Genomic DNA, 20,895 nt, shown 5'->3' with positions numbered 1-20,895 from the left:
CAGAAATCAGCACATCCTAATTCGCATCCCAAAGCTATCATGGGCAGAGCAAGTGAGTTCTCTGGGCTACTGTTTTCTGGGCTAGGTGAAGGCAGCAGGAGTCAGAGATACCCGCCTATCTCTGCAAATTTTCGTGTGCCTGCACACCCAGACCCCTCTCCTTTAAAAGAACAATTCCTGAACCATGAAGTTTGAGTGCCTTTCTCCTCCCTGTTGTATTAGTTTGCCAGGGTTGCTGTAACAAAGTATCACAGACCAGGTGGCTTAAATAACAGAAATTTATTTTCTCCAAGTTCAGAAACTGGGAAGTCCCAGATGAGGATGTGGGCAGAGTTGATTCCTTCTGATGGCTGTGAGGGAAGGAGCTGTTCCAGACCTCTCTTCTGAGCTTGTAGATGGTCAGATGAGGATGTGGATGTCTCTTTACATCACCTGGCCTCTGTGAGTGTCTGTCTCAGGCTCCACATTTCCCCCTTTTTATAAGGACACCAGATCACACCGCATTAGAGCCTACCCTAGTGACCTCATCTTAACCTGATTACCTCTGTAGAGACCCTGTCTCAGGGACGGGTGCCATGGCTCACGCCTGTAATCCCAGCATTTTGGGAGGCCGAGGCTAGAGGATCACTTGAGCCCAGGAGTTCAAGACCAGCCTGGCTAGCATCATGAAACCTCATCTCTACAAAAATAAAAATAAAAATTAGCCAGGTGTAGACAGGTGCCTGTGGCCCCACAGATCCCTGTGGTTCCTAGGGCTGATGTGGGAGGATGGTTTGAGTCCAGGAGATGGAGGCTGCAAGGAGCTGAGATCGCGCCACTGCACTCCAGACTGGGAGACAGAGCGAGACCCCGTCTCAAAAAAACCAAACCAAAACAACAGTAACAAAAGACACCGTCTCAAATAAGAACACATTCTGAGGTACTTAGGGTTAGGCTTCAACACAGGAATTTCCAGGGGACACAATTCAGCCTTTAACTCAATCCCTCGCTTTCTTGCTAGTATCCAGCCCCTGCACTTGTGCCCCATTACCCTGCCTCTGTTCACCACTGCAGAGATGGAGGGTCCCTCACTGTCACGCACATATGTAAGATCTAAGGGCCTTGTCCAAAGCTGAGAGCCGCACGCAGCTCCCCTCTCACAGCCCCTGCTGCCTCACCGCCTGGAGTATGGGTTCTTTCCTTATTACTGATCGAGATTTTGAGAGCCTCCCCAAATTTCCATCTCTTACTCCTTGGTTATTGGAGCGTGGATGTAGTTTATCCCACCTGTGAAACGAATCGCATATATGAAGATAAGCAGGAGATCCACCTTCTCATAGTAAGAGAGGGTGACTGGGTAGAAATTGTCACCCAAATTTGTCTTGACACCTCCTGGAGGGGCCACAGTGTCATCTGTGTCACCTTCTCAGAGAAGGCTGCCAAGGGTACATGCAGGCAGAGACCTATTTTCCTCCCCTCTCTCCTCTCACCTTCCTTCTTCACTCTGGGGCAAGGTATAGCCACTTCGCTTCACATAACCGCACAGAGTCTAGGGAAAAAATGACATTCGATTAATGAAGCAAACGCAGCTGGTACAGAAGTGACATCTAAATTGTTCCTTTGGTCCCGCTATTTTCCATAGGAAATTCTTTCTCTCCTCACCCCCCTCCCCCTTTTCCCTTTAAATCGCGTGCATAAAATATACTAATAACAATCTTCGGTGTCTGTGCATGAGTGACAGCTGAAATAAGAAAAAGACTAATCGTACCTCCTGCAGCCCTGTCACATGGAGATTAAATGAGTCTCTCTCCCCACCCTCTCCCTGCTCCCCACCCCCTCACCCCCACTCTCTCCTCTCTCTTGGTTCTCAATGAGAATCATGGGCATTTGAATAATAATATTATAGACGCCATCAGAGTGACAGTGGGGAAAAAATCAGCTCAAACCCATGATTATTCCTTCACTCTAATAATTATTTAAATACCAGATAACTCCTTTCACTCTAATTGAGGACTTTCAGCCGTCGGCATTACCCGGGGCTTTTGCGTTCGCCCTCTTGCTCACCTTGTGCTACCCAACGTGCCTGGACTACCTCTAAGGTCGGTGTTAGACAGAGCGATGCTCAGAATGCTTGCACGTACAGCTGCACAAGGGATATGAAGACAGGTCCTTCAGTAGCATTCCACCCACGGGGAAAAGATGGGGCCTCAGACTCTCACATTTAGACAATTTTATTCTCACAGAAATCTTAAACCAAAAGGAGCCTTCTGAGATCATTGGGACCAATCCCCTGCCTCTAGGTAAACTGATTCCTAGGCAGCTTCCAGGAAAATTCAATATCAGAAAATTTCAGAATCTCCTTGGCAGGATGCTCTGCAGATCCTCTCTAGGCAGAATGTCCCCCTTAATATCTAACTTTAATCCCTTCTGCTGTAGCTCTAACTCTTTGGGAAGAAGGAGCTTTCTGTGCATAGACTAAATCTGACCTGTCCGTGGGGTTGTGGCAGAGGACACCATAGCCCCCAAGTTACAGCATAGGTGACGGTCCTGAGTGTGACATTTGCCTGGGCCTGCCTGGGCCTAGAAGAGGACAGAAGCAATCATTCTCCCCAAGGGGGAAAGGAGCCATTCGGACATGTGTCTTTCTTTCATTCTGCCCCTTAATCCGCCCCTCTTTGAATCTGCCCTGAGCACCACCTCGTTGTCCAGGCCCAATGCCACACTCACTTCTGCGTATCATGGGGCTATTATCAAAGGCATCCACTTTCCCGAAAACAGGACAGCCTGAAGGCAAAACGTAACTAACTCCCAGGACCCTTCCACCTACAATGGAGGAAGCGCCTGCCTTTTTGTCATGAGGTCTGGGTTCTGACTGCAGCCTGTTTCTGACTCACTTTGAGTCGCCCTGGTCAATTTGTTTCCTTTCTGTGGGCTGTGGTGTCTTTCATATTAAAAAAAAAAAAAAACAGTGGGTTGGAATAATCTTATAATCTCCCTCAGCATTCTCCTGCTTTAAAGGCACTACTCATTAGAAGGAAGAGCTGAAGGAGAAGACGGACTCCTCTCCATCATGGGAAAGGAAGGAGGCTAAGTGACTTCCAGGAACAGCTGCTAACTTCCCTGATTTCACAGCCCTCATTTTCATGCTCATCTTTTCCCTACCACCGTCTGGCTCCTCAGAGTGTGTGAGCTCCCTAGTAGGTGCAGTAGTAATAGTAGGCACCCTTTGCTGTTATTGTTATGAAAACTGTCAGCTCCAGGATGGTGCTGGAGGTGACGATGATGTTGATGACAGGGTTGTTAGGAATGGAGTTAGTGGCAAGTGGAGCTACAGATGGGCCCACGGGTATGAGAGCTACTAACAGGAACTTTGACTCAATTTGGCAAAATCGTATTTCAAATCTAAATTCTCTTTCCACCAGCTCCTTTTGCTATAAGGGAAAGCCAAGTGGAAACGTAGAGGCATGTGCACCCAGATCTCCTGAAAAGGGCAATAGGAGAGGGTAGCAGGGAGGAGACAATCCTCTACTGAGCTGAACTGGAAACGCCTGATTGTCATTTCTTCCCTGCTTTGCCACTGACGCCCGCAGCAGCTGATCAGGAAGGTATCAGATGCCTTCACTAGCTGTCACTAACACCTGCCTCCTGAATCCTGATCGGGGAGATGGTGTCATCGGGCCCTCCACATAAAATATTTAGTGGCACTTGCTTCCCAAAGAGGCAAGCGTGGCCTCTCCTTGGCATCAGGAACGCTCCGAGTTACATGTGCTGGGAGACTCTCTTGTTCAGGCGAGAGTCCTGGAGCAGCATACCTGGTTTGAGACTTGGAGTAGGAGAGAGGGAAACTGGTAGAACAGAGACTAGGCAAGTTTTGGCTCTTGAGAATGCATGTGACAAGTGACTTCATGCACTAAACAGAGAGGGATGTGACAGAAAGAAGAAAGCATCATTATTAAGAGAAAACTCCTGAGGTTGACACTAGCAGAAAATTGGGGATAGGAGGAAGTCACACTGGGTATGCAAAGTCAAATGCATGTTTGTTTACCAGTGTCTACCAAACTGAGGATGGGAAATTCATTCTAAGACAGATGATGGGATGGATGGAGGTGAGGAGCTGGAAATAATGACAAATAAATTGCTAATAACAAAGGCTAATGTATCTTAAACACTTAAGATGGCCATGAACTGTTCTAAGTGCTTTTATATGTATTAACTGATTTCATTGTAATAATCCTATGACGTAGCTACTAGTACTAAACCTATTTTATATAGATAGTTAGATAACATCATAGAATGGCTAAGTACCTTGACCAAGTGTACACAGCTATAGGCTCCATTTGCGTCCAGGCACCTAAGTTCAGAGCTCATGCATTTAATTGTTATATCGCACTGCCTCTCACCAGAGGCACAAAGGTGGGCTCCATCCTCCCTTACTCAGAATGTGGATAGGAGTCCTGATCTTTGCCCACTGGGCTCTGCTTGGAACAGCCACTTAGTCACATCAATTTGGCATAGAAAGATGAAGGCTCTCAACGTGCCCTTGAAGTCAGCTGTCTTCATGAAGGCCACACTCCCAAGGTGGGGTGCAAACCTCCCCTCACTGCAGGAGACTGTGCCTCCTCTTGACTCCAGTGTCCAATGACAGCTGCTCCCAGGCGGGCAGTCCCTGAGTCCTGTGAGATGAATTCACTTGGCTGGTTATCAGGAGTGGCCTGTCCCAAAGCAAATGCTGCATGAGGGTGAGAGGAAAACAGCCCAGCTGGAGTGGTCTGTTTAGAACTACTGGCCTGAAAAAAAAAAAAAAAAAAAAAAAAAACAGAAAAAGAAAAAAGCTCCTGACCTAATCAGCCTCTCCAGGTTGGAGCAAAAAACCTCAGCTGCTATTGGAATCACAGACTCCAGGAACTGAAGGAACTAAGCTTCGAGGTAGCATTTTATCTGAAAAAGGAAATCTTATAGGTTGACTAATTCAAATACCTTTTGTTTTAAGATCAAGAAATAGGCTCATGGAAATGCCAGACTGGTCTAAAGTGAGTGACACTATAATTCATGAGTCACACAGGCAGAATGTGAACCCAGGGTTCCTGAGTCTCCCACCTTTCTTCCTGCCCTGTGACCTCATGCCTTCTAGACATCAGGACGTTTCTCATTCTCAGTCTAACTCTCAGGATCCTGTGTTTCCACCAGCCTTCCTGCAGTCTGCGGAGAGGCTATATTGGGACTTGTGCAGTAGTATGACAAAGAAGATCACCTTGGATCTATTTCTTTCCCCTTGCCACATGCTTCCCAGACTGAGCTCTGTCACTGGGTCGGGGAGGCCTAGGGATCAAAGGCACACCCACAGTGTTCATCTCATTGTGGGTGGGAAAGGAAGAATATAAGCAAAAAGAGAAGTCAAGAGCTGTGGCAGGATTTCAGAAGTGCCATCTCCTGTGGAGTCTTCAAAGACAATAACAGGCCAGGTGCAGTGGCTCACGCCTGTAATCCCAGCACTTTGGGAGGCCAAGGCAGGTGGATCACGAGGTCAGGAGATTGAGAGCAGTGTGACCAACATGGTGAAACCCTGTCTTTACTAAAAATACAAAAAAAAAAAAAAAATTAGGCGGGTGTGGTGGCACGTGCCTGTAGTCCCATCTACTGTGGAGGCTGAGGCAGCAGAATCGCTTGAACCAGGGAGGCGGAGGTCTCAATGAGCTGAGATCATACCACTGCACTCCAGCCTGGGCGACAGAGCAAGACTCTGTCTCAATAATAATAATAATAACAAAAACTAACATAAGTTAAGTGCTCACTGTGTGCCTGCAACCATGCTAAGAGGTTGGTCTCTATATTGTCTCATTTACTGTCATGACAACTTGAAAGGTACATACTGTAGTTATTCCCATTCTACCAGAAAGGGACATGAGACTTGACTTGCCTCAAATCCCAAATTTGTTCCCAGATTCTGTCTAACAACAACAAAAGCCACTCACTATTCAAACTGTGTCTTGGGAGGATACCAAGCAGGGAGGTGAGGTGGCTGATCTTAACCGCATACTAAGTCCTTCCATGTTATCTCTGCTACCAGAACCCCCTTCCTCCCCTCGCGGCTCCTCAAGGAGGAACCACTCTCCACCTGGAACCCAAGGAGATTTTCTTCCCAGCGACAGGGGCAGAGAATGGCCTCTTGCAATTCCCCATCCAGCTGGAGAATTTAAGGATTCTGTTATTTCCTTTCCACAGCTCCTCTTCAGGAATTCACGTCCTGCTACCGGCCTCAGGACATAGCTAAAAATAACCTCTGGTTTCCAAACTGAAAGCCCTGTCTGTTGGGAGGCTTTGCCGGTGTGCGCCTGGGGCCGGAAGGGCTGTGTCGGAGTAGCTGAGGTCAGCCTGAGTCTCATGCCGGTGTTGCCTTCCTCTTTCCAAGGAAGCCCAGGGCCTCATGAGTCACCCCGAACACCCTGGGGGAGTCGGGTTGGAGGAGGGAGTTAGGTGGGACCTACTGTGGCACCACGGTGGCTGCCAGGCCGAGGATGCAGAACTGAACAAGAGGAAGGGTCGTTCCTAAAGAAACTCTAGGGGATTCTCTAAGTGGTGTCTGTTCTAATTATAACCCAATCCAGCCAGAATGGGGAGTTGAGGGAGAAAGGCCTCTCCTAAGCTGCCTTGGAGCAAACTCTCCATCCTTCGGGTGTTTCCATCCCTGCCACCTTATGTGCCCAGAGTTCTGTCTGGACTTGCCTGAGAAGGTTGCTGGATGATCTTCCAGCTGAGAAAAGCTTTCTCTGCCGGACAGCTCGCTGCCTTCTCCTGGTGCCGCAGTCACTTCCCACTGTCCCTCTCCATAAGTCAGGACAGTACCATGATAGTGATGGAACAGGCCCTGCTCTCTGACCTCCAGGTCCTGCTCTCTGACCTCCAGGCTCTGCTCTCTGACTTCCTGCCCCTGGCCCAGACTGCCCCTGGCTACAGGCTGTCCTCAGGAGCCCCACCTTGCCCCTCTGGGCAGCTTCCTTGGAACAGGGAAGAATAAGCACCAAGGCTCTGGAAGTGGAGGAGCCTTAAAGCCTGGGAGTCAGGAGGCAGGGGGAAGAGTAAAGGAGTCAGGGCTAGAGACTGGGCTTCGAGCATGGCCCACTGAGGCCCGCTGGTGATTTCATGGATGCTGAAACAGTCAGGAGGCCCCAGCAGTGCCTGAAATGAGACTGAATCTCACCTCACCACCCTTTGCTGCTCCCCACATTCTCCCAAATCTGGTACCCCTGCCCCAGGTGGCTGAAGCTGGACTCAGCCAGCCAGTAACCCCTAGCAAGGAGACTGGTTCTCTGTGTGTCCTGGCTTCCCATGTGCTCTGCCTGCAGAGAGGCAGAGGTTGAAGCAATTTCCCGAGGACCTGGCTACCTGGCAGCAGCTGGGCGTCCACCTTGAGAAGGATGGGGGAATCTCAAGAGATCTGCCTGTCTCCCGAGGGCTTTTCCGGCTCCGGAATGGCACATGTGGGAATCCCAGTCTTGTTGGCTACAACATTTTTCCCTTTCCTAACAAGTTCTAACAGCTGTTCTAACAGCTAGTGATCAGGGGTTCTTCTTGCTGGAGAAGAAAGGGCTGAGGGCAGAGCAGGGCACTCTCACTCAGGGTGACCAGCTCCTTGCCTCTCTGTGGATAACAGAGCATGAGAAAGTGAAGAGATGCAGCGGAGTGAGGTGATGGAAGTCTAAAATAGGAAGGAATTTTGTGTGCAATATCAGACTCTGGGAGCAGTTGACCTGGAGAGCCTGGGGGAGGGCCTGCCTAACAAGCTTTCAAAAAACAGGAGCGACTTCCACTGGGCTGGGATAAGACGTGCCGGTAGGATAGGGAAGACTGGGTTTAGTCCTAATATCAAATTGACTGGCTGGGTGAACTTCAACAGCCTTTTAACCTCTCTGGGAGATGAAAACGATGGCTTAAGGGGCCAGAAATAGAGATGCTTTGTAAAATAAAATTTTAAAAAAAGCAAGTATTTTATAGCATAAAGGCTAGAGACCAAAATAGATAACAGGATTCCCTGAACATTCCTAAGAGGGAGAAAGTATGTTAAAAATAGAAAAACCAAAATGCAGAAGGAGGAGACTCACAGAGCTAAACCAGGATGGGGACCCTGGGTCAGGCCAGCCTCTTTGCTCCTCCCGGAAATTATTTTTGGTCTGACCACTCTGCCTTGTGTTTTGCAGAATCATGTGAGGGCCAACCGGGGAAGGTGGAGCAGATGAGCACACACAGGAGCCGTCTCCTCACCGCCGCCCCTCTCAGCATGGAACAGAGGCGGCCCTGGCCCCGGGCCCTGGAGGTGGACAGCCGCTCTGTGGTCCTGCTCTCAGTGGTCTGGGTGCTGCTGGCCCCCCCAGCAGCCGGCATGCCTCAGTTCAGCACCTTCCACTCTGAGAATCGTGACTGGACCTTCAACCACTTGACCGTCCACCAAGGGACGGGGGCCGTCTATGTGGGGGCCATCAACCGGGTCTATAAGCTGACAGGCAACCTGACCATCCAGGTGGCTCATAAGACAGGGCCAGAAGAGGACAACAAGTCTTGTTACCCGCCCCTCATCGTGCAGCCCTGCAGCGAAGTGCTCACCCTCACCAACAATGTCAACAAGCTGCTCATCATTGACTACTCTGAGAACCGCCTGCTGGCCTGTGGGAGCCTCTACCAGGGGGTCTGCAAGCTGCTGCGGCTGGATGACCTCTTCATCCTGGTGGAGCCATCCCACAAGAAGGAGCACTACCTGTCCAGTGTCAACAAGACGGGCACCATGTACGGGGTGATTGTGCGCTCTGAGGGTGAGGATGGCAAGCTCTTCATCGGCACGGCTGTGGATGGGAAGCAGGATTACTTCCCGACCCTGTCCAGCCGGAAGCTGCCCCGAGACCCTGAGTCCTCAGCCATGCTCGACTATGAGCTACACAGCGATTTTGTCTCCTCTCTCATCAAGATCCCTTCAGACACCCTGGCCCTGGTCTCCCACTTTGACATCTTCTACATCTACGGCTTTGCTAGTGGGGGCTTTGTCTACTTTCTCACTGTCCAGCCCGAGACCCCTGAGGGTGTGGCCATCAACTCCGCTGGAGACCTCTTCTACACCTCACGCATCGTGCGGCTCTGCAAGGATGACCCCAAGTTCCACTCATACGTGTCCCTGCCCTTCGGCTGCACCCGGGCCGGGGTGGAATACCGCCTCCTGCAGGCTGCTTACCTGGCCAAGCCTGGGGACTCACTGGCCCAGGCCTTCAATATCACCAGCCAGGACGATGTACTCTTTGCCATCTTCTCCAAAGGGCAGAAGCAGTATCACCACCCGCCCGATGACTCTGCCCTGTGTGCCTTCCCTATCCGGGCCATCAACTTGCAGATCAAGGAGCGCCTGCAGTCCTGCTACCAGGGCGAGGGCAACCTGGAGCTCAACTGGCTGCTGGGGAAGGACGTCCAGTGCACCAAGGCGGTAAGGAGGCACACACCTCGCTCTGCTCCTGCTCCATGACACAGGTTCCAACCTTCCTGTCCATGCCCTGGGGCACATCTGCTCCCACACCACCATGGACCTGAAATGAAAGAGGTTTTCAGACTCAGGTTATCAGGTGGTAACCAATAACGCAGGGTCTTACGTACACCAGATACTTGAGATATGTGTGTTGATTTGTTGTCATTTCAAATATATGTATTGAGTGCCTACATCACATCAGGTGCTATTGTAAATGCTGCAGGCTTCAGCTGTGAACCATACAACCCTACAAAGCTCACTGCCCTCATGGAGATTACACGCTAGTTGGGTGAGACAAATGAACACATAATACATGTTAGTTTGCCAAATGGTGATAATGGCTATAGAGAAAAATAAACAGGAAAGGGGGAGAGGCAGTAGCTGAGAGGACTGACTCATTGAGAAAGTGGTGTCTAAGCAAAAACTGAGGATGGGAAGAAAGGGAGCCACACAAGTGTCCAGAGAAAGCATTCCAGAGAGAGAAAGGGTGAGGAGAATGTGCAAAGAATTCAGGGCATGCCTGGAGTGTCTGAGGAACAGTAAGGAGGCAACTGCAGCCAGATCAGAGTATGTGAGAGAAAGAGCAGCAGGTGATGGGGTCCATCAGAAGTAATGGGGACCAGGTCATGTACACACAGAGCTGTAGGCCACTGTGGTTCCCAGTGAGGGGGTCAAGTGGAGATCAGAAATCTAAGTCAGAGGAGAGGGAAGGGAGTCTGGCTTGACCAACTGATGGAAAACTGGAGAAGAATCAGGAGTGTGGGCAAAGGCAAAAGAGGAGAGGATGAAAAGCTCAGAATCCAGACCTGAGGAAAGCAGAGACAAGAAAATCAGTGGCAAGCACTGCCCTGTCAGCGGCTCATGGTGCTGCCATCAAAGTATTCATGATCCACTCTTCTTCCATCATTCATCCAACCATCCAATCATCCATTCATTTATCCACCCATCTCTCCTTTCATCCATCCCCTTTCCTTCCCTCCTTTTATTCTCCTATCCATCTATCCCTCCATCCTCCTTAGCTCTCTCCCTCCATGCATCTCTCCATCCATCCATCCATCCATCATCCATCCATCCATCTATTCACCTATTTACCTAAACCTCCATTCATCTGTCCCTGATCCTTCCCTTCATTCTTTCCTCCATCCCTTCCTCCATCCCTTCATCCATCTCTTTATCCACTCATCCCTCTTTTTTCTCCCTTAATCTATGTCTCCATATCTTTATCTATCCATCATCCATTTGTCTACCTAGCCCTCCATCTATCCATTCATCCCTCTCTTTATTCATCCACCATCATCCATCTACCCATCCCTCTATTCATTTACAAGTAGTATTGAAGATCTTCTGAATGCCTGGCACTGTACTAGGCACTGGGGTTGCAAACATAAAAAGACATGATCGGCTGGGTGCGGTGGCTCACACCTGTACTCCCAGCACTTTGGCAGGCTAAGGTAGGCAGATTGCTTGAGCTCAGGAGTTCGAGACCAGCCTGGGCAACATGACAAAACTCCGTCTCTACAAAAATTCCAAAAATTAGCTGGGTGTGGTGATGCACACCTGTAGTACCAGCTACTCTGGAGGCCTGAGCATGGGAGGTGGAGGTTGCAGTGAGCCAAGATTGTGCTACTATACTCCAGCCTGGGTGACAGAGTGAGACCCTGTCTCAGAAAAAAAAAAGACATGATCACTAGTCTCACAGATCTTATAATCTAGTAGGGGGAAGAGAGAGAGAGAGAGGAAGAGAGAGAGAGCTAGAGACAGCTGGCAACATAATGTAGTGGCTCAGAGTTTGAGGTTCTGAGACAAAAGCCAGGCTTCAAATTCCATCTGTGTTTCTTCCTGCCTTCTTCAGAAGCACCTTAGCATCTCTACATTCTTATCTGTGAGATGGAAATAATAATGCCTAGCTCATGGGATGATCAGATGAGATAATACATGGAGAGATTAGCACCATGCCTGGAAATGTTAGGTTTATTATTACACAGGGAGTTAACAGGGAGTGTGAGAAGTGCAAAAGTAGGTTTCTTGTACACAGTGCTGAGGGCTCTGGATCTGCAACCTAGAAAAAAATATATGAGACCAAGGGGCCCATACGGCTACCTTCTGAGTACTCTAAATTGAAGGTGCCTGCCGTTGGGACCAAGCACCAGTACTTGAAGCAAGAAAACATCATTCCAAGGCTACGCTTCTATTCCTGTCATCATTTGCTTGGTGTGGTAGAAGAGTCGTGGTTAAGGCTTTGAAGTAAACCAGATGGGGATTAAAAATCAGTCCTACCACTTACTCCTTGTGTGACTTTGGGCAAGTTATGTACCTGGTCTGAGCTGTAAATTTTTCGTCTTTAAAATAGAGATAATATTGTCTTCTTTTCATGGTTATTATGAGGATCAAATGGAAAATTTATGTAAAGTGCTTAGCACAATACCTGGAACATAATAAGCATTCAATAAATGGGCCGCTATGATTATTAATATTAATCACAGTAGTAAAGAGCCAGCTATTTTCTTAGTTATCTTACTGTTGTAAAATGAGGAAGCTAGACTAGATAGTCTTTGGTTTTTTTTTTTTTAACGCCAAAATTTTATGGCCACTGGCCGTAACCAATGTGGAGAGGTGGAGAGGAAATGTAACCCTCCGTAAGGGTTAAATGCTTGCAGAGTCCAGCCTAGTTCCCATAACCCAGAGGGGGCCTTGTCAGGAGGAAACTGCTGATTCCTGCCTGCTTCTGAGCCAGAGGAAAGAGGAAGATGACACTCTTCTCTGCTCCAGAGCAGAGGGACAAGCCTGGGCTAGTTACAAAAGGATAGCAAAGGCACTGGGAGAGAGGTGACAGTGAGTGGGGCCAGGACCTTAGAGTGGAGAGCCCCTTGCCTCCACCCCTTCAGCACCACACCCTTCTGGTGCAAGGGCTGCAAGAGGAATGGCCCCTTAAAGACCCTGATACTCCAAAGAACTAAGACCCAGGGACCCAGAAATATTTTGGTGGCCTTAGAGGGGAATAAGGATAAATGAAAGAAGCTGTGGTCCCAGAGCTTGATTTTAACATGACTCTGGAATAACATGGAAATCTCAGATCAAAAATTTGAGCTCTGATCCCAGAAAAGAGAGGAAGAAGGGGGCTATCACTCATTGAATAGCAGCTAGTCCTAAAGGCTAAGCTTGGCAATTTAAGTGTTATCTCACTTGCTCCTCACAATGACCCCATAAAGCAAGAGTTATCTTCCCCATTTTACAGATTAAAAAACAAAGGCTCACAAAGACTAAGTAAGTTGCTCAGATCTCCACAGCTATAAGTGATAAAGCGGGGATTTGAATTTAGTTCGGCTGTATTACTTCTTAGTCCAGTCTCTCTCTATTGAGCCCTTCTGTTTCCAAGGAAAGCCATACACCAAGCTCTCACCATTTGAGCAAAAGTAAAGGTGCATCAGGTGTTTGGGAATATCTAACAATATATTGAAAAACAACTTGAGGAGGAAAGAAATTCCAGCCAATCCTAAGGGCTTAGGCTGAGAATAAATCTTTTTTTTTTTTAATAGTTCTGGAGATACTAGAATCAATAAGACAGTAGCAAAATCTAGGATTACCAGGTTTTTGCTTCTGTCATCATTTCTCAAAAGCTGACTTGGGCTACGCCTGTGCCCAGACTCTGTGGCCTTACCAGCCCTGCAGAAAGTGGGAAAGAAATGGAAGCCATGAAATTAAGGACTTTTAGAGCTCAAAGGAAGCTTGACAATTACCTGTTCCAATACTTTTACTTTACAGATGAGAAAACTGAGGCTGAGACATGGTACATGACATATCAAGGTCACACAGCTGGTTTCAGTAGAGAAAGGCCTAAAATCTGGATCACTTTCATCTTAGCCAGGGCAGTAGCTGCGTGTAGTGTAGGGATGAGATGAGGAAGAGAAGCACACAATGTAAAAAGTGTAGCTGATAACTCTGACCTGCCTTTCTAGGGAGCTAGAATTCCCGTGGTTGGCTCCAGTGGTGTGCTGGTAAATATTAAATAACTGGCTCTATGCAGGCAGGGGAGGGAGAGGAGTGCTCTGGTTTGTAGCCTCTGCCAATTGCCATGGTATAAATACACCTATCCTGGCTGATTTCAAGCATCATGGGATGTCACTGAATGCACAGTTATTCCCTAACAGCTGGCTTCAGCACACCACAGCTTCACTCCCTTCCTGAGAAACTCATTCCTTCTGCTCTGTGGGGCTCAATATTATCCCGGGTTCAAAAGTCATCTTAACCTAAAAATTTGTTTTATTTCCTGAAGAATATACACACACAAGTGCAGCACCATCATTCCTACCAGTAACAGGAGCAGCAGCTCTCTACAAAACACTGTGGAACCACAAAAAATGAGTCTCTGCTCCTTTTGGGACTGAGAAGAGAAAGGAACGGAAGTCCCTGGTTTAAAAAAAAAAATCATATGCCATAACTTATAAACCAATTATTCCAAAGAAATGAGGCTGTCAACGAGTGATGGTGTGTCAGCCTGCTCTTCCCTGGTGAGGGTGAGAGGAGGCTGAAGGGAGCATGGGGGCAGGCTGTTCTGCTGCTTTCTATGATTTCTACGATAGCCATTTCCTTCCTCCTCTGGGATGCCTTCACAGACCCAGAAGGAACAGCTGCCACAGGATGCGGGGCTCTTTCTGGCCCAGAGCCTGCAGCCTTTGCCACAGGATTCCACATTGTGCCATTAACTGGGCCATGTCAGAGCACTCATTCTGACCCAGCCCCGTGCTGAGCACTGTGTACAGAATGCAAACCCCTCAGCAGCCCCTGCCTCAGGAAGCATTATGGTCTTTGTCTTTCATTCTTTTTTAGATGAGAGACCTAAGATCTTTCTTGAGACCTTAGAAATCATCAATTTAACATTCCCTTTAAGAGCCCTACAAGAGGACCCTGCTTGTCCAAGTTTTCACAACCAGTTAGTAGCAGAACAGGGGATAGGATCAAGATCTTCCTACTTTCTTTCCAGCAATTTTTTTTTTTTTTTTTTTGAGACGGAGTCTCGTTCTGCCGCCCAGGCTGGAGTGCAGTGGCGCAATCTCGGCTCACTGCAACCTCCGCCTCCTGGGTTCAGGCGATTCTCCCACCTCAGCCTCCCAAGTAGCTGGGACTACAGGCACACACCACCACGCCTGGCTAATTTTTTGTATTTTTAGTAGAGACAGGGTTTCACTATGTTGGCCAGAATGGTCTCGATCTCCTGACTTCGTGAACTGCCCGCCTTGGCCTCCCAAAGTGCTGGGATTACAGGCGTGAGCCACCGTGCCCGGCCACAATTTTTTTTTCACTTGCTCAAGGTGATCTTCTTTCAAACATGCTCCAGTCGCTGCTGACAGATACATTATGGAGCCACACCACCACTCTCCTTAAAGGCTGGAAATATGAAGGACACCACCTCCAGAATTCTCTCTTAATTATATTTACCCAAACATTGTTGAAGATCTATAATGCACAATAGTGGAAAGAGTTGGACAACTTAACACAAATCTTTTGCATGCATTATTTCATTTGTTCCTTCACAATTCTATCAGAAAGGTGGGCAGGTATTATTCCAAAGGAAGAAACTGAGGCATAGGTAGATTAACTTTTCCAAAGTATAAGGTACTGTTCGATATCATTATGACACTTCTGATCTCTTTCCAGTATGGAAAGATAGTAGGGAGCTAGAATTCCCATGGTTGGCTCCAGTGACGTGCTGGTAAATATTAAACAACTGGATAGTTGAATGGCCTAAAATTTCTTGCACCCAAAGGGAGACCCTACAGCCCAAGAAACAAACAAGAAACCCTTTCTGGGCTGGTAGAAATCCTGTAATGTTGCCTTTAGACTGATTATCCACTGAAGGAACTCTTGTCTGAAATAGAAAGATCCCACAGAATGCCATGGTCCTGAGGAACATTAAAATAAATAGAAAATGAGTTCAGGCACTTAGCTTTACAAATTGATCCTGGTTCTCCTGGCAGAAAGGTAGATACAGGTGACGCCAGCTGAGTGGAAGGTTGCTGCCTGTTCTTTCATCTGGCTTCATAAGAACCAACATGGAATTTGTGGGTGAGCTGGTGAGAAGTTTTTGTCTGCAGCTTGTATTAGGGCCCCTGAACTCCCATGTCTGCCTCTCTGAGGCCTGGTGTCCTAAGGCTGGAAGTTGTGGATATGGGTCGTGTAGAGACTTCACCATGCCTCCACTGTTACTCACCCCAATTCCTTCCGCTTCCCTCCAGCCTGTCCCCATCGATGATAACTTCTGTGGACTGGACATCAACCAGCCCCTGGGAGGCTCAACTCCAGTGGAGGGCCTGACCCTGTACACCACCAGCAGGGACCGCATGACCTCTGTGGCCTCCTACGTTTACAACGGCTACAGCGTGGTTTTTGTGGGGACTAAGAGTGGCAAGCTGAAAAAGGTAAGAGTCTATGAGTTCAGATGCTCCAATGCCATTCACCTCCTCAGCAAAGAGTCCCTCTTGGAAGGTAGCTATTGGTGGAGATTTAACTATAGGCAACTTTATTTTCTTGGGGAACAAAGGTGAAATGGGGAGGTAAGAAGGGGTTAATTTTGTGACTTAGCTTCTAGCTACTTCCTCCAGCCATCAGTCATTGGGTATGTAAGGAATGCAAGCGTATTTCAATATTTCCCAAACTTTAAGAAAAAACTTTAAGAAGGTACATCTGCAAAAGCAAAAAAAAAAAAAAAAAAAAATTGCTCTTCATTCCCAAATCAAGCAAAACTAAGTTTTTGATTATGTGCATTATAAATCTCCAAAATCGCAAATCCCTCCCTAGAACCTGTAAACTTGATTATACTGGTCTTTGTTGAATTCAGAGAAGTTGGTTGAAGCAGATTACTGGTCCCAATTCTAAGACCTGGGGTAAACGGTGGGTGCTGCTCTCTGATGGTATATGATGCCTGAAGAAAACACCATTCTCCAGTCTTTCCTCTTCCTGCAATCACAGACTCTTCCCTTCCCAGCTCCCCACCCAGATGTAAGCTGCCAGGTGGAAGTAGACATTTTACCTTGCGCCTCCCAGGGTACTTCTGCCAGCTGGAGGGCACAGGCTGTCTGGGGATGGCAGCATGGGAGGCCTCTTGTGCAGCAGGCTGAAGCCAACAGCTTGTACCAGCTTGTCTAGTGCCTAGGGTGCAGAGAGGGCGCACAATCTGGTTCATTATGTGGGATTAGAGCAGCCACATTCTTTCCGGTCTCAGCTAATCCCTTTTCCCAAGCTTACCCTCCTGCCACCTTTCCCTGGTCCCAGCACCTGTGGATCAAGGAACATGCAAGACCTCACTGCATCTCACCCTTTGATGTTGACATCACCCTGGAGCTCTTTCCTCCTAATCCATTTAGAGCCTTGGGAGGGATGTTGTTTGGAAATGTGGAAGGAGGGTAACCTGGAGTGAGCCCAAGGAAGAATTTCTATGTTCTGCTTGTTCTGAATTACTGCCAGGGGAGGTGAGAAGAACTGGTCTGGGTTCACCTAGCAGTGCTAAACCCTCCAGGCTTCTTCTGGTTCTCATGATACCAAAGATATTTAACCATTTCCTCACTTGCTGTAGAGGTTCCTACATGTTCCTCTTCTGTGCCCTCCACTCTGCCTGGGACTAGGGACCCTAGCTTGGCTTTTCGGCACATGGAAGAGAGAAAGAATGTGGTCCTTGCATTTGCTTTTCCAAAATGGGAAGGGAAGGAGTTGCTGTGTGAAATTCTGCTAAGATTTAAAAGTGGCTTCTACCAAGAAGCAATTCAGCTTGGAACCCTGAGGCCGGCTACTTCCCTGCTCAGCCAGGGTCACCATATCCAGTTGAGCAAATTGTGCCTGGCCTAGGAGGATTGTGTTAACGGGCCTAGTGGGAGTTGAAATCCAGCCTGAGCTCTCCCTGTCACATCATGTACCCTGTGGTATAAACATCTGCTCATGGGACTTCTCTTACTAAGTCATCTACCCATAGGGACCACCTTTTCCTAAATGGCACACAGGCTCTCTAAGGGCCAGCAGAAACCACACAGGCTAGCGTGAGCACCTTTCCCCTACCTTCAGTCACTGCTCCAGGTCATGTGTGTCATTCTGTCTCCTTGATTCTCTTGAAAGTTCTGTGAAAGGCAGGGGTCATGCTTTTTGGACTGTTCCCTTCTTCCCCTTTAATCCTGTCACCGAGTGTTCACTCATGGGATAGGCTTCAAAACTGCTTTGAAAAATAGAACCATTCTTTAAGGAACCTTAGAGATTGCCTGGCCCAATACTCTCATTATTTGACAGGGAAACTGAGGTCCAGAGAAGAAAATTGACTTGCCCAAGCATAGAGATCTAGGACAAGTTGCTTCTTGCCTTGACACCCAATTTGGCACCATTTTTACTTAAAGAAGTAGCTCTAGAGCCCAGGGAGGGAGACTGAGAATGATCTTCAGGTCCAGGCTTGCTACAGAGGTCAGCTAGGGGCCAGTGCTTTCACTCTCTTCAGATCTAGATGTGAATTAAGGAATCAGTGTTTGCTGAATGGATGGATGGATGAGAAGTGAATAAAGGAAAAGGGACCCAACCAGATACAAAGGGACCTTGAGTTGACTTTCCCCATATCTCCATGCATCGTGCACAGCACACACTAGGGGCTGCTTGGCATCTATCCAAGTCACACACCTGAGTTGGCCAAGTTCTCCTGGCCTTATTGAAACCCTGACGGACAAGTTACTGTGGAGACCAGTCAGCAGGTTCAAGGGCAAAGCTGGGGGCGTGGTTACCCACAGCTTGTTCTGACCTGTGATTTGGCTGCTTCTTCTCACTCTTTGCTTGGCCTTTCTTTGGCGGTTTCTATGAGCTCATGACACCCCTCCTTCCTCCTCTGTGCAGCTCACCCTTCCTTCCCACCCACGCTGCTTTGAGGTACTTGACATTCATACCCAGGCCCCTGCTGGCCTCCCATCTACCAGCTTACTTGCTCCCACCCCTCTCCAGAGAAATAACCCATGAAGAATTTATGGAATGTCCCCAGGAAACCCTACTATGGTCCAGGCCCCATAGCTCTTTCAACACAGGAAGGAAAATAAAGAAAAAAAATAGCTAAGAGTTTGGAAAGGGAAGGGAAGCCGGGTGCGTCAGAACTACTCACTTCTCCCGGCGTCTGTCAGGCTGTCCAGCCCTCATCTACTGTGGTCTGTAGGAACAGGATGTCCCTGTGTATGTAAGTTTAGAGGAAGCAGAGACTTGCTAGAAGTGATAGGACCACAGGGCGCTCTTATGTGCTGTGTCCACATAGCTGCTTATACACTGCTTTCTGCAAGATGCATAGAGAGCACCCTAGACAAGACCACTGCCTTCTGAGCTGCAAACATGTGGAAGGAACAGACAGAATAAGGTTAAGTCCCCAAAACCTGTATGTGAGGCCGGGCACGGTGGCTCATGCCTATAATCCCAGCACTTTGGGAGGCCGAGGCAGGTGGATCACCTGAGGTCAGGAGTTCAAGACCAGCCCGGCCAACATGGTGAAACCCCGTCTCTACTAAAAATACAAAAATTAGCTAGGCGTGGTGGCACATGCCTGTAGTCCCAGCCACTTGGGAGGCTGAGGTGGGAGAATCGCTTGAACCCAGGAGGTGGAGGTTGCAGTGAGCCAAGATCATGCTACTGCACTCCAGCCTGAGCAACAGAGTGAGACTCCATCTCAAAAGCAAAACAAAACAAAGCAAAACAAAAACAAGAGTTTGAGACCAGCCTGACCAACATGGTGAAACCCTGTCGGTACTAAAAATACAAAAATCAGCAGGGCATGGTGGCATGCACCTGTAATCCCAGCTACTCAGGAGGCTGAGGCAGGAGAATTGCTTGAACCTGGGAGGTGGAGGTTGCAGTGAGCCCAGATCGCGCCACTAGCCTGGGCGACAGGGCAAGAGTCTGTCTCAAAAAAAAAAAAAAAAAAAAAACCTATATGTGCAATGCTGCATAAGCTAAGGGTCAGTGCATTGCAGGTGATAAGAAGACATGCAAAGATTCACCATAAGGGTGGAAGAATTCAAACAAAACAGCAACTATAGTGTGATCAATCTGCAAAGCTTTACTGAAAAGGAAGATTACCAGGGTCTGCTTATAGACTAGATGAGACAGAAGAACTGATGAACTGATGAGTTGGGGGAGAGAAGGGCATTCTAGACCTTGGGTGCCACACTGAGAAGGTACAAAGCATATGCAATGAAGGTCCAACATTCAGAGAAGCTCAGAAGACTTGGACAGGTAAGAGGGGAGGGAGAGCCCTGTGAGGCTTTAAGCCCTAAGGAGATCAAGTGAAAAGGATCTTGGGATTTTAGCGAACCGTGAGGTTGACATGAGCCAACTCTGTGATATATTGCTTCAACAAAGTTAGTCTTCATCATGATAATAGAAGAACAGCTTCTATGTCACGAGACACAGTGACTCCACTTTACCTTGGAGATAACATCGCAAGAGGGTGTTAAGCAAACTCAAGTGCCAGATAAACAAGAGCTGGATCGATGTGGGAATCATGCTATGTGAAGGGAAAAAGTGAATAAAGCAGGACATAGAACAGCTGTCTTTACATAACATAATTTACTGAGCACTTATTATGTGTCACATGCTATTGAAGAGCTTTATATCTGTTAACTCATTTACTCTTTATATAACTCTATGAGGTAGGTGCTATTATCACCTCCATTTTAAAGATGAGGAAATGGAGGTCAAGAAAGGTTAAAAAATAATAATAAAGTCACACAGCAAATAAAATGGCAGAGCTAGGACTTGAAATGTGATTACCTGGTTTTACAATCTGCTGGCTTATCCATTAAGCTATGGAAGATGAATTAGGCTTATTCAGTGTGGCCCCAGAGGGCAGAACAGGGCCACTGGGTAGGCGTTACAGCAATGCAGCTTTCCCCTTCATATAAGGAAGACGTTTTTTACAGCCAGACTGTCCCGTGATGGTGAGAGCTGACCCAGGAAGGAATGAGGTCCTAGTCAGTGGAAATATGCAAGCAGAGACTGGATGGTCACCAACCAGGGTGCTGTCAAGGGGATTCCTGCATCAAATCTCAGATCTTCTCAATGATACTGCCACTGTTTCTCTGGCTCTGTCAGCAAAGCGTGCGATGAAGGAGGACAGGCTGAGGCAGAGAAGAGGAGCAGAAAAGGGAAGACCAAGGTCCCCTGGGTGTGGGCTTTGGAATGAGGCTGGTTTTGAGCCTGCCCTTAGTGTAGCAGAAAGCCCCTCAGGGTCAGGTAGGAGGGGCTTGGCACAGACAGGGCAAGGCATGGCCTGGATGATGAGGACAGGCAGGCCTAGGGCCAGATGTAGGGGAGGGAAAAGCAGGTTATCCTGGGGTCTGGGTCCAGTTCCTCATGACAGCATCCCTCCTGGTTAAGAATAGGCAGTGGGAGTCCAGATGATAGAGATTAAG

At 48.0% G+C, this 20,895-nt stretch overlaps 1 protein-coding gene and 1 long non-coding RNA gene across 4 annotated transcripts in view, besides 1 other annotated feature; one reads left to right on the top strand and one right to left on the bottom strand.

Annotated features, from left to right (window-relative positions):
- Window positions 1-20,895, top strand: part of PLXNA2 (plexin A2) — a 222,143-nt gene that overhangs the window by 18,208 nt on the left and 183,040 nt on the right. For all 3 annotated transcript variants that reach the window (NM_025179.4, XM_005273164.4, XM_005273165.5), the window contains exons 2-3: window positions 8,175-9,442; window positions 15,715-15,897. In NM_025179.4, coding sequence (NP_079455.3) covers window positions 8,255-9,442; window positions 15,715-15,897 — 1,371 coding nt within the window. In that variant the 5' untranslated portion in view covers window positions 8,175-8,254. The remainder of the gene's footprint in view (window positions 1-8,174; window positions 9,443-15,714; window positions 15,898-20,895) is intronic.
- On the bottom strand, window positions 261-19,387 carry LOC105372884 (uncharacterized). The gene is made up of 5 exons (XR_001738428.3): window positions 17,528-19,387; window positions 16,509-16,627; window positions 9,459-9,542; window positions 1,470-1,528; window positions 261-473 (listed from the first exon to the last, which is right to left on the bottom strand). It is a non-coding gene; the product is annotated as an uncharacterized LOC105372884 (long non-coding RNA).
- Window positions 6,219-6,513: an enhancer, noted in NCBI's record as "tiled region #12529; K562 Activating DNase matched - State 5:Enh". NCBI's record gives its function as "activates a minimal TATA promoter and a strong SV40 promoter by Sharpr-MPRA in K562 cells {active_cell/tissue: K562}" and the evidence as "EXISTENCE:reporter gene assay evidence [ECO:0000049][PMID:27701403]".

This window comes from Homo sapiens, chromosome 1, assembly GCF_000001405.40.
Source record: "Homo sapiens chromosome 1, GRCh38.p14 Primary Assembly".
In the NCBI taxonomy this organism is placed as follows: domain Eukaryota; kingdom Metazoa; phylum Chordata; class Mammalia; order Primates; family Hominidae; genus Homo; species Homo sapiens.
Note: the sequence above shows the minus strand (reverse complement) of the source record. Positions and strands in the feature narration are given on the sequence as shown.